Here is a 13,761-nt window from a genome sequence, read left to right as displayed (position 1 = left end):
GGGGAGATAGAAAAACAAAGCAGCAATTACCCACAGAGATGGTTTTACTTAAATAACACTGCTCTTTTTACAATTCCTTTTCATTTTACTATCACCATTTTGTTTAACAGGAGTCAGCTTCTATATCTAATCTTCTATATCTAATACATAATCTTTTAAATCTGTATCTAATACGTAATCTTTTAAAAAATAGTCTTCTGATGCCTTAGATTCCTAGGGGAAATTAAAACTTTAGCAGCCTCATCAAGGTTTATGTATTCTTCACTCTTCTATATAAGCATACCTGTTGTAGAGCTGGACCTGGTGGTGTGCACCTGAGTCCCAGCTATTTGGGAGGATCACTTGAGCCCAGGACTTTGAGTCCAGCCTGGGTAACATAGCAGGACTCCATCTCTTTAAAAAAAAAAACTGCTGAGTATGATGGCTCCCACCTGTACTCCCAGTGGTTGGGAGGCCGAGGCAGCAGGATCAGTTGAGGCCAGGAGTTCAAGGCCAGCCTGGGCAACATAGCAAGACCCCATCTCTACAAAAAATAGAAAAAATTAGCTGGACATAGTGCTGTACACCTGAAGTCCCAGCTGTTGAGGAGGCTGAAGTGGGAGGATTGCTTGAACCTAGGAGTTCAAGGCTGCAATGAGCTATGATGGCACCACTGCACTCCGGCCTAGGCGACAGAGCAAAACACTCTTTAAAAAAAAAAAAAGATTTAAATATATCTATTGGAAAAATGCTTTCACCCAAGAATAAACCAATAATGACTCTAAATGTTTTGTTTTGGGATCTAGTTCTTTTCTAAAAAAGTTCTCATCACATTTTTCTATAACTTGATTAATTAGTTAAGCAAATAATTACTGAGCATCTACTACAAGCTACATGCTAAAACTGGGGATAGAGTAATTAAGGATGAAGTCCCAAGTCTCGAAGAGCTCAAGTGTCCAGACGAGGATGACAGAGGTAGCCGTAAGATCTTGAAGGGCATTGTCTTGGTCCATCCAGGCCGCTATAACAAAATGCCTTAGGCTGGGTAATTTATACCCAATAGAAATGCTTTGCTCACAGTTCCAGAGGCTGAGAAATCCAAGATCAAGGCACCAGCAGATTCAGTGTCTGGTGAGGGCCTACTTCCTCTAGATGGTACCTTCTGTGGGTGCTCACATGGCTGAAGGCTCAACCAGGCTCCTTCAAGCCTCTTTCATAAGGGGACTAATCCCATTCATGAGAGCTCTAGCCTCATGACCTAATCACCTTCTAAAGGGCCTAACTCTTAATACATTGTGATTCGGTTTCAACATACAGATTTTGAGGGCGCTGAAGAGGGGGGTACGCAAACATTCAGACCATAGCAGGCATTTATGCTGTGCTAAGGAGTTTGGATTTCATCCGGAAAGTAACAAGCTGCCAATAAAATAGATGCAGTGGCACTGACATGGAAAGTTCATGTGGAACTTTGGACTTTGGAAAGTTCACTGTCAATTTAGTGGAGAATAAATTGGGGAATGGAGCAACAAGAGAGGAGAAAAGCCTCTGAACTTTTTTTTTGCAGAGAAGTGCTTTTCTTCTGTGCTACTTCTACAGAGATTCTGAGGCAACTCCGGTGAGAATAAGGAGGTAAAATGGATTTGTGAGATTTTAAGAAGAAAAATCTGAGAACAGTTGGCAATAAATTTGAAATACATAGTAAAAGAAGGAAAAAAACAAAATTCTAAGAGGACAGTGGCTACCAGATGTCTGCTAAAAAAAAGCAAATGGATGTTCCATGGATATTAACAATATACTGTAATATCTTTATAACACTGGTATTTGGAAACAACTAATAATCACCCTGTAAGCTCTTATTCTATGATAGGGTTTCCCTAATGCATAGGTAGTGGAAAGGATACAAAATCTGGAATCTCACAAGCTGGTTTCAAACCACAACTCTGATATATTTTCACTGGAAAAAAAAATTTCTGATCATTTGTAAATTGAAAGTAATCAGAAACCTATTACACATGCTTATGATGATAAGTGAGGTGGGTTATTGAAAGTTGGTTTTTTTTTTCCTTTAAGATTATAAAGCATTGTAGTGTAAAATGGTGGTGGTACTAGATGGAGTGTATAGGTTTCTAATCCTTTGAGAGGGCACATCGGCAAAGTTGAGCTTCTTTACCTGCTGCTGGCTGGGTCCCACTGGTGGAATTCCAGCGTGGCAGGCACAGCATTGCAGAAGTCTAGACTACAGGAATTGGGTGTGGAGACTTGGGCTCCTTCAGGTGGCGTTGTTTGGATTATGCTTCCTGTCTCCTCGCAGGAGCCCAGTTTTAACTCTGAGTTAGAGCATGTTGCTAAATGATCCCTGCTGCCTGTTCCTTCCCTCTGATCACCTATCACCTGGTCACTCTGATCATCTACCCTGGACCAAGACAGTCTTCAGCTTTATGTTAGGCAGCCAGAACAGGGCTATTCTCTAATGTGCCACTGGATACTTGGCAATGGGTAAGTAGTCATCTCCCTTCCAGAGCTTGGCCTCTGTCCTGAGCCAGAGAAGAATTCATGCTAAGGAGGCCAGTGCTCACTCCAGCCCTAGCATTGTATTAGGCATAATTTTCCCCAGAAGACACCACCCGACTGCCTTCTATAAGGGCCTGAAAACCTGTTGGAAACAAATAACCTGGAGCTGGTAGGGACATGCTCCACCCCAGCCCCATCCTCTCGAGTCATGCGTGTGTACCCAAGAGTTTGCAGAGCGATCTGATGAGCTACCTTTGTAGGTAATTTGCCCTTTTATGATCTTTTTGTCTTTCGTATTTTGTAGTTTCCCTATGTCATATCTCAGTGAGTTTGTTTTTATTTTTCCTATTTAGGGCTGAATTTCTGGAAGTTGTATTCAATTCTCTTTCAAGTCTGGCCTTTTTTAGAATATCTTATCTTCTCATTTTTAAATATTTTATATCTTTATGTTAAATGTACATATTTTATAACTATATTCTATCATTTCTGACTTAATGAAGTCTTGAGGATTGAGATTTGTCATATATGTTTTCACTGATGTTGAATTGTTTCCTTACATAGTTTATATTTTTTGGATTGTGAGTTCAACTTTAGTGGTGCATTATCAGTAAGAATTCTGCATAGCAAACTTCAAGGGGTCTGCCATGAAAATGTTTTTGCTTTGTTTCTGCCAGGCACTCCAGGGATATCCCAGGCTCAAGAGCAATTATGAGTATTATAATAAGTGTTAATTTGAAGTTCAAACAGCACCAGGATCAGCTGTGGTTGAAAGTGTTTAGAGAAGACCTATTTTTGCTCCTCCAGAGCTCAGTCTTGAGACAAACCAGCTTTCTTTTTGTTTCACAGTGTAGTGGGCTGACTTTTCTGATCTACCCTTTCACCAAGGGCCTGGTTTTGTGTGTTTCTGCTCTTTGCCTGGCGTAGGCACTAGGCCATACTTCCTATCCCCTCCTGGGCATTAAGACCCAAGCCCCACATGAGAGGTCAGCAAACTATAGCCCCAGGATCAAATCCAGCTCACTCTTAATCTTGGTAAATAAAGCCTTATTGGAACATAAGCATGCCCATTTGTTTATATATCAGCTGGGCTGCTTTCACATCACAATGGCAGAATTGAGTAGTTGCTACAAAGACTAGATGGCCCTCAAAGCTAAAACATTCACTATCTGACCTTTTACCAAAAAAAAAGCAGACAAATTCCCGCCCTAGATTAATGAAACTGAAAATCTTGCCTTCATCCCCACCCTTTGGGCTGCAGGAGTTCTTGTGATTACCTGCTAGTATTCCTTTCCTCTTCATTTCTAGCTTCTGCAGTCACCTTTACTCTTTAGTAAGCCCAGCTAGACATTTAAAAGTATGTCTGTTTTATTTTACCTATGTGTTTTTAGCAGGAAGGTTCTCAGGTATCTGGTCTACCATCTTGCCAAATCCAGAGCCTCTCTTCTACTGTCTTGGTAGCAATATGTTATTCTTTTTCTGTTTCCTTGACTTGACCATTAAACTTATTCATGTTAAATTTTTATTTTCTAATGGATTTTTTTAAGATCATGAAATTTTTCATCTACCTAACTCCATATCTATGGAATTTGATAAATAATGTTTTTCTTCTCATTTAAAAAATTACTGTGTAATTCCCATGGTCATTTCCTTTTTAACCCATTGGTTATTTTAAAGGAAAGTAAAATATACTTTTGGCTGTCTTATTTTTAGTATTCTGTGCTCAGAGATCATGGTCTTTATGATATCAGTTCTTTGGAATTTGTTGAAATTTTTCTTTGTTGTCTAATATGTAATCAGTTATAATATATTTTTCATGTATGCATGAAAGGAATCTGTATCTGGATACAGAGCTCTCTCTGTAGATGTTATATCAAACTTGTTCATTGTGCCATTAGATTCTCTATTTTAAAATCTGTGTGCCAGATATATTCCTTTCTAAAAGAGTTCTGTTAAAATCTATTGTGGTTGATATTTGTGTATTTTTCTTTGAAATTTTATCAACTCTGCTTTTATATTTCAAGGCTATGTTGTTAAAGAGCATAAAAACTCATGATCATTGCCCTCTTCATAGATTACTCATCAGTATTAACGTTAAGTTTGTTGACTTATACATGTTATAAATCATTTTTTTTTCTTTGAGATGGAGTCTTGCTCTGTTGCCCAGGCTGGAGTGCAGTGTCGCCATCTCAGCTCACTGCAACCTCCGTCTCCCAGGTTCAACCAATTCTCCTGCCTCAGCCTCTTGAGTAATTGGGATTACAGGCGTGCACCACCATACCCAGCTAATTTTTGTATTTTCAGTAGAGACAGGGTTTTGCCATGTTGGCTAGGCTGGTCTCAAACTCCTGACCTCAGGTGATGCACCTGCCTCAGCCTTCCAAAGTGCTAGAATTAACAGGCATGAGCCACCACACCTGGCCAGAAATAATTTTTTTTAATGGCCAACTCAGACCCTGCTGTGAGGTGAATCTAACTATGGACTGCCAGTTTTAAACTCCAGCAAAATGTAGACTATATGAAAAGCTTGTTCTAATGTTCTCTCCCAGGGGTCTGTAGTTTTATGCTGGGTTTCTACAGGGACATGCCTTGATCATGTGATGGCCCTAAATCATTTAGTTCCAGTCCAGCACAAAGGATGTGGCTTTGGGGTGATGCCTCCAGATCTGAGGAGGTCTCTACTGAATCCTTTCTGTAGATCCGGTTTTCCATATTTGGCTGACATACTTGACAGTTTGGAGTTTAGAACTATAGATATTTCCTTTCTACATCAGAGATCAAAATTTTCCTCTATTTTTCACTTAAAAAAATGTTTTTGGGTCTTGGGGAAACGGTGGGGAGTGGTGAAGTAAAATAATCCTGACTTTATCATTGGCACCTGGTAAGATGTCAACATTTTCTTCTTACCCAAAGCCTTTCGGTGGTTTTATTCTCCTGGCAGTGTGAAATGCTTTAACAGCATCAAAAGCTGAATAACAAAAGGAAGATTTATTAGATGTGATAGACATTGATAGATGTTGATGCTAGTTATACACTGTTTCACTGATCTCCAGAATCAATGAAAAACAGGACTGAGTGGGTAAAAGAATCCACATGGCTTTTGGAGAAGCAATTCTATGAAGTTAACTATGTAATCCCCACTGTATTTGTAACAGTTTGTGAAAACATAAACACAGTATCTGCTTTATGTTGGGAGCATTTATTTGTTCATCCTTGAAGCTGCTTCTTAGAACTTCAGCCTGTTAATGCCATCTGATAAGATAAGGAATAATGCTCTTGGAAAAAAATTTGATGTTTGAAATGTAGAATGAACTAATGTTTTGATCTTTTCTCCCCGTTTTTCCTTTTGTAGTATGACTATGAATATGATGAAAATGGTGACAGAGTCGTTTTAGGAAAAGGCACTTATGGGATAGTCTACGCAGGTCGGGACTTGAGCAACCAAGTCAGAATTGCTATTAAGGAAATCCCAGAGAGAGACAGCAGGTACAGTAATTGTAGCTACTAAAAGCTGTTCTGTAGTACTTTGGGTTGTTGACAGTATTTTAGAAAATACTTGATGATATTCTAATGAATGAAACTGTGAAAACTTCACTCTGTGAATTAGCTCCTTCTGAGGTTTCGCTGCTGCATCATTCAGTGTTTGAAGTGCCAGACTGGTGGGGAAGAACGGGGCTTTCAAAGACTAGAAAAGAGAATGGCCCTGTGTGTGTTAGGCTCAGGTTGTCTTGGATAAAGGTGGATGTATTATGTGAATAGATGAGGAATAAGCACTATCAGAAATCGTTTAGGTTGGAACCAGTTCTAGGTTCCAGTCGGGCATGTGAGGAGCTTGGAAGTTGTCATTCCATCTTAACAAGTAGAAAGCTGAAGAGACTGAAATCAGTGGCTCTTCTTGGATTCGTCCGTGAAGTTGCAAGGGAGGCAGCTGCCCCTGAAATTGGAGAGACTGGAAAACTGAGAGACTCATAACTTACTGAGCAGAAATCCATGATCTGCTCACCTCTGTGGGAACCAGTGCTGGGGTAGGAAAACTGAACTGTAACTGACAAATCTCTAGAGGCCCACTGTGAAGTCTGAGTTAAAAACTCCAGTGGGACCCAGTCACTGAGGGCTGGGGATGAGGGTCACACTTTCATGAGTTTTGGAGCTTTACCAGGTCCTCAGAGAGACTTGAAATAAGAGAAATCCCATTGTGCTTCTGGCAGCAAGAAAGGAAAAGTCACTATTTCTTTTTTTTTTTTTTTTGAGACGGAGTCTTGCTCTGTCACCCAGGCTGGAGTTCAGTGGCACGATCTCGGCTCACTGCAAGCTCCACCTCCTGGGTCCATGCCAGTCTCCTGCCTCGGCCTCCTGAGTAGCTGGGACTACAGGTGCCTGCCACCACGCCTGGCTAATTTTTTGTATTTTTAATAGAGACGCGGTTTCACCGTGTTAACCAGGACGGTCTTGATCTCCTGACCTCGTGATCCGCCCGCCTCGGCCTCCCAAAGTGCTGGGATTACAGGCGTGAGCCACCATGCCCGGCAAAGTCACCATTTTTAAATACGCTGAAGCATTCTGTTCTTAACAAGGTCTGTCCACAAGAGACTCTATTTTACCGGAGCCTAACCAAACTAGGGGAAGTGGAGTACCAAATTTAGCCCAACTCTAGCTGTCCTGTCTCACCTAAGGGGGCTAAAGCTAAGGAGCACTTGTAAAATTCACAGCCCAGGGGCACTGGCTCACTAAAAGACTGAGACCTAATCACAGACCTGTCGAACTCTTCCCCTCCCTGACTGCTTCCCACCACATCACTAAAGGCCTATTTACTGCAGCACTTTCACCTAGGATATCATGTCCACCTTTCTATAGAAAACTATAAGGCATACTGAAAGACAAAAAACACAGTTTAAGCAACATAGCAAGTGTCAGAACCTGAACCAGATATGGCGGGGATATTAGAGTTATCAGATTGTGAATCGTATTCACATGCTTAGGGCTCTCATGGAAAGGTAGAGATTGTGCAGGAGCAGATGGTAATGTAAGCTCAGAGATGGAAATCCTAGGAATAATTTTTAAAAATGCTGGAGATCAAAAACAGTAATAGAAGTGAAGAATGGCTTTGATGGCTTATTAGTAGACTGGGCACAGTTAAAGAATCTCTGAGTTTCGGAATATATCAGTAGAAACTTTCAAAATTAAAAAAGCAAAGAGAAAAAAGACTGAAAAAAAAAACTGGGACAATATCCAAGAACTGTGTGACAACTACAAAATGTATAATATATACATTTTTGCCATCAAAAGTAATTAATGGCAAAAACCGCAATTACTTTTGCACCAACCTATGCTTGAAGAAATGAGTTGAATCTCACATAGTGAGGCCTTGTGAAAGGTGGAATCTTTTTTAGGAACAAAAATGTTCAGGAAACTGAAGCGCTCTGGTGATAGGATTATCTGTTGCTCACTGCTCTTGTGCTCTGCCTTATGGTTTATTTCTCCAACTAATAATTCTGTCTTCTCTCAACCTCATGATTTCTGCTGCCTTAGGGCTTCCCTTACATCTCTCTGTAAGGCAGTGCTCCTGTAATTAGTGCAACGCAGTTGTAGTGTATGATACACAGTTGTGTGTGTTGTGTATTCAAAGTCTGAAAGAGAGAAGATTGGATTATTTAATAGATGGTTATTATTATCCATATTTGGCCAGGCTTTAATGCTGGGCTACATCATGGGCTGACTCTGGCTGCCCTTGACTCCACGTTCTGTGGCCGTGGTCATAGGCCACATGACCAGCCTTCCTTAGGAAGGACCCACCCCTGAGCTCCCCAGGTTACCTGTCTACCCCACATCTCCAGTTATAGATCTCAAAGGCATCTCAAGGTTAACAGGACCAAAACTGAACCTGGATTTTTTTCCTTTTTTAACTTTTATTTTAGAACCAGGGGGTACATGCGCAGGTTTGTTACAAAAGAATATTGTGTGTTGCTTAGGTTTGGAGTACAAAGGAATCCATCAAATATACCTAGGTAGTGAGTATGTAACCCAATAGCAAACCCAGATTTTATTTTTATTTCCTTATTTCTTTAAGTCAGAGACTCACTCTGTCATTCAGGCTAGAGTGCAGTGGCCCCATCTCAGCTCATTGCAACCTCCACCTCCCGAGTTCAAGCAATGCTCATGCTTCAGCCTCCTGAGTAGCTGGGATTACAGGCCTGCATCATCATGCCTGCCTAATTTTTGTGTTTTTAATAGAGACAGAGTTTCACCATGTTGGCCAGGCTGGTCTCGAACTCCTGCCCTCAAGTGATCTGCCCACCTCAGCCTCCCAAAGTGCTGGGATTATAGGCGTGAGCCACCACGCCAGGCCGTGAACCCAATTTTTATTCCCAAATGTACTCTCCCTAAAGTACTCCTTGTGTTATCAGTTACTGTCTCCCCATGTATCCAGCTGCTCAGGCTAACCTCCAGGATTCATTTGATTCCTCTCTTTCTCTTGCACTCCACATCTACTCCATCAGTAAGTCGTACTGTTTGTTGTATCAGCCTCTGCAAGATATTCTGAATCTCTCTACTCTTTCTGATCACCACAGCTGCACCTCTAATCTAAGCCTTCAGGCCTGTCGCTGGGACTCCCTTCTAGTCTCTGCAATCACCTCCTAACTGGTCTCTGCTTTCGCTCTTTCCTCCACTCCTAGTCCATCCTTCTTTGAGGAGTCACAGAGGTCTTTCTGAAGTTAAAATCAAATCATGTAGTGATAATGATGTGTCAGTGAAGGTCCATCAGTTGTAACAAATGGACTACTCTGGTGGGGAATGTTGATAAGGGGGGAGGTTGTGCATGTGTGGGAACCAGGAGTGTGTGGGAAATCTCTGTACCTCCCTCTCAATTTTTCTGTGAACTTACGAACTGCTCTAAGAAATAACATCTATTTTTAAAAATCACATCACGTCACTACTGCCTAAAACCCTTCAGTGGATTCTTATTGCAACCAGCATGAAACCCAGAACCCTTACTTTGAATCACAAGGCCATAGGTGATCTGCTTCCTCTGTGGCCTCACTTCCACTCCAGCCACACTGGTGTCTCTCTATCGGGCATACCAAGATCAACCCAGACCTTGGCAGGATTGCCTCATTTTCATCACTTAAGCTTTAATTCAAATGTCAAGCCCTCAGAGAGGTCTTCTCTGACTGTCCCAAACTGAAAAAGACACCCCCTCCCATGCAAGCACTGTGTCCGGTCCCAGCTCTTTATCCTTAGTGCGTGACTTTCACCCTGCCTCCAGGCTCCATATGTCAGTCCAGAAGGAAAAGGAAAACAGAGCTTCCCAGAACTGCCCAGTATACTTTCTCCTCTGTTGCACTCGCCCAAAATGCCTACCCCTACCTACAAGGAACTAGGAACTCCGGCTTTTTAGCCAGCCATTTGTTTCTCCAAACAAAATCATAGAAAGAGGGAAGAATAGATACTAGGTAAGCAAACAGCTGTTGCTGCCTGCCGCATGTGTAGTTTCATTCAATTTCATATTTGTTTGGTGTCGTTCCAGAGTTTCCTCTTAGTTAATTCATGAGACATGATTATGGATTCTTATGAAACAGTAATAGAAATTACTCATTAAATACCTAGGTAATATATATAAAGTTGTCATCTTAAAATTTTTCTTTTAGTCCTATGTGTTCTTAAGGAGCATATGTATAGATAGTGTAGACTTTGAAACAATATGAAATTTAACGAGGTCATCACTATCAAATTGCTGCAGCCAAATTCACTAACCTTTAGCCACAGCTCCTCTCTTCTCTACTCCTGATGGATTTAGGTGAACACTTGGAAGAAACTCACTTTTAAAATCACCCTGTAGTTTAAGTTTATTCAAATGCTACTATACACACACAAAGCACACCAACACCAACAAGATGTTTCAGCTCCTGTTCTGTAACAATGCAGTTGGTATATGTGATTTGCACATGACAAGCCCTTAGCTTGAACAGCTGGTGCAGGGCATCTTCTTATTGACAATGTAAAGAGATCGCAGACAACTCTATTATTGTGAAGATACAGCAAACAAAGTTGTTTCTATCCATGTAACCTGGAGGGGTGTGGACGTTCTGTTGAAAAAGATAGCAGTTACAGTTACAAAGCATAATTACAAAAGTAGTGTGATGTGAATAATGCATGATACAACCTGAGTGTACACTAAACTACCATCTGTAAAGAAGGATCAGAGCAATGGAAACAATTTCTCCTCTGTTTCCTTCATGTTCTAAAACCACTTTGTTAGAGAATCAAAGTGGTTGTAAGAGGGAAGAGGTAGATTTAGTATGCTCTCATCATCCACCCCCAACTAGTTGTTAATCTCAGGTTGGCTTTCTCTTCTGATATTCTACATATCCTGAACTGGTTATTTTTATTTTATTTTATTTTTGAGATGGAGTTTCATTCTGTCGCCCAGGCTGGAGTGCAGTGGCGCGATCTCGGCTCACTGCAACCTCCGCCTCCTGGGTTCAAGTGATTCTCCTGCCTCAGCCTCCCAAGTAGCTGGGATTACAGGCACCTGCCACTACACCCAGCTAATTTTTATATTTTTAGTAGAGAGGGGGTTTCACCATGTGGCCAGGCTGGTCTTGAACTCCTGACCTCAAGTGATCTGCCCACCTTGGCCTCCCAAAGTGCTGGGATTACAGGAGTGAACCACTGCACCGGCCGTGGACTGGTTATTTCTATGTCATTTTTCACCCAGCTGTATATGAGAGACAACAGGGGAGCTTTTAAAAATACTGATGCTCAAGCTCTACTTCTAGAAATCCTGGGGTGGTCCTGGACAATTAGAAGCCCTCTAGGAGATGTAAATATCCAGTCAAGGTTGGCAACCACTGGTCTAGATGGTTAGCAGTAGGGATTTGACTCAGAGGGGATGTCTGGCGATACCTATGGATTAATAGTTTTGTCAAAACCAAAATATGTAAGTATCTCTGATTATCTAGGCCATTTCTTCTTTCCCTTGTTACAGGTAATTGAGAAGAAATATGATTTTCTTATAATTCTCATAGATAAGAATAATTTGTTGATGTGAACAAATTATAATTCCATCCTTGTTTAATGCTTGGCACTTACACTTAGTGAAAATGCTGGGTGTTTGTAATATTTTTTATATTGGAGAAGAGTACTTGTCCTTAGCTAGGTTGGATTCTGACTATTATTGCAAATTTTGAGCTATCTCCTTAGTTTAAGTAATGAGGTAAGGATATTGCTTCTCCAGGGTCTTAAGTTTAAGCATTGATGTTTTGATTTTCAGTAGAGAATCAGGAGGTGGGAGTCTTTTGATTAATAATTAACTGAGGGCCCGGTATGGTGGTGCATGCCTGTAATCTCAGCACTTTGGGAGGCTGAGGCTGGCGGATCACTTGAGCTCAGGAGTTTGAGACTAGCCTGGACAACATGGTAAAACAAAAAATACAAAAATTAGCTGGGCATGGTGGTGCATGCCTGTAGTCACAGCTACTCGGGAGGCTGAAATGGGAGCATTGCTTGAGCCTGGGAGGCTGAGGGTGCAGTGAGCTGTAATCGTGCCACTGCATTCCAGCCTGGGTGACAGAGAGAGACCCTGTCTCAAATCATCATCATCACCATCATCATCATCATCATCATCATCATCGAGTTACTTGATTGTTTCAGATTTTTCTTTATCTCTTAACTCTGTAGAATACAGAGGCACAGTATTTGCCACTAATCTATATCAAGAGCAGTTATAAGCCAGGTTTGTTGGCTCACAGCTGTAATCCCAGCCCTTTGGGAGGCTGAGGTGGGGAGAGGTGATCTGTGGTCAGGAGTTCGAGACTAGCCTGGCCAACATGGTGAAACTCCGTCTCTACTAAAAATGCAAAAATTAGCCAGGCATGGTGGCAGGCGCCTGTAATCCCAGCTACTTGGGAGGCTGAGGCAGGAGAATCACTTGAACTCGGGAGGCAGAGGTTTCAGTGAGCTGAGATCACGCCATTGCACCCCAGCCTGGGCGACAAGAGTGAAACTCCATCTCAAAAAAAAAAAAAAAAAAAAAGAGGAGCAGGTATGAACCAACATCAAAGTGTTTTAACCCTCATGGAAGAAGCAACTTGTAAATACCCTTATAGTTGAGAGTCATTACCTAAGTATCTTATTGGTAACACTGTATATTGATATTTCTGGTGTTATCTCACTCAAGCAATTATCAAAATGTTGTTGCTATCTCTAACTGGTATACTATTAAAGTGCTCATTTTAATACGTGCCCTTCATAGTTCCTGAAGTAATTCTAAAGAAAAAAAGAATAATCGATCTAAAATACAAGTCTTTTGTTATTGTTATTGCTGTTGGCTGCTTTCTGGAAATATTACACAGATAATAAAAATTAATTTAAATTAAATGAATTTAAATGTTTATAAACTAATTGCTTTAGCTAAAGCACTTACTCTAAAAAGCTTATTGAAAATAGCATTATTCAGCATTAACCAATGGATTTGTCAGTGTAAGATCTAAGGATTTCCTACATGTAGGACTGAAGCAAGTGTGAGACACCAGGTTTGCACTAATGTGAATTATTAGTGTATTTCACACCTGTAGCCTCCATTATAGAAGATATATATATATTCAATTTAGATTATATATAGATCTATATCTCGAGGAATTGCTTTGAGTCTGTATTTATTGTTGCTGACACCCTACAATATTTAGCTTCTTAAGTAAAATTTGAGGCTACTGATTTGGACTGAGCTCCTGCACTAGGCTCCAACAGACCAGCCTGTGGAACCATGCTAGGGTTCCACATCACCAAACCAAAACTAAGCAGTTTACTTGTAAGATCTGACCTTCTGAAAAATCAGGAGAGAGATGATAGCCAAATTCTCCAACAGGCCAGTTTTCAAAAAACAAAAACAAAACAGAGTCACAGGGACTGATCAAAAGGCACCCAGCCAACCTGAGCTGGCATGAAAAGAAGTCCCCTCTGCTTTAACCCCTGCAAGGGAAGTAACCTGAACTAACCTAACGTTAACCACTTGGTTTTTGCTCTGTGTTGTTTTTCTTCCTGCTCAAGCTACCTTAGGAAAGAAAACCCACTGTTTTGCCATGCCCAGCGGACCTCCTATTTTGATTGGATACTGCCTGGCTCATGAATCATGAATAAAAGCCAATTTGATTTTTAAAACTCAATTTGCTGAAATTATGTTCTTTGGCAAGCTGTACAATAATTACATTAGGGCTACATTAAATTCAGGGTGGTTAAGAGTCTATAAAGCTTTACAGTACTTCCAATAATCATCAA

The 13,761-nt window shown here is 40.9% G+C and overlaps 1 protein-coding gene across 8 annotated transcripts in view; it reads left to right on the top strand.

The window, feature by feature from the left end:
• The window catches only part of MAP3K5 (mitogen-activated protein kinase kinase kinase 5), a 236,046-nt gene that overhangs the window by 164,271 nt on the left and 58,014 nt on the right, over nt 1–13,761 (top strand). For all 8 annotated transcript variants that reach the window (XM_017010875.2, XM_047418784.1, NM_001438058.1 and 5 more), the window contains one exon: nt 5,840–5,973. In XM_017010875.2, the coding sequence (XP_016866364.1) occupies nt 5,840–5,973 (134 nt within the window). The remainder of the gene's footprint in view (nt 1–5,839; nt 5,974–13,761) is intronic.

Source organism: Homo sapiens, chromosome 6, assembly GCF_000001405.40.
Source record: "Homo sapiens chromosome 6, GRCh38.p14 Primary Assembly".
NCBI classification, from domain to species: Eukaryota; Metazoa; Chordata; class Mammalia; order Primates; family Hominidae; genus Homo; species Homo sapiens.
This window is presented reverse-complemented; position numbering and strand designations above follow the sequence as displayed.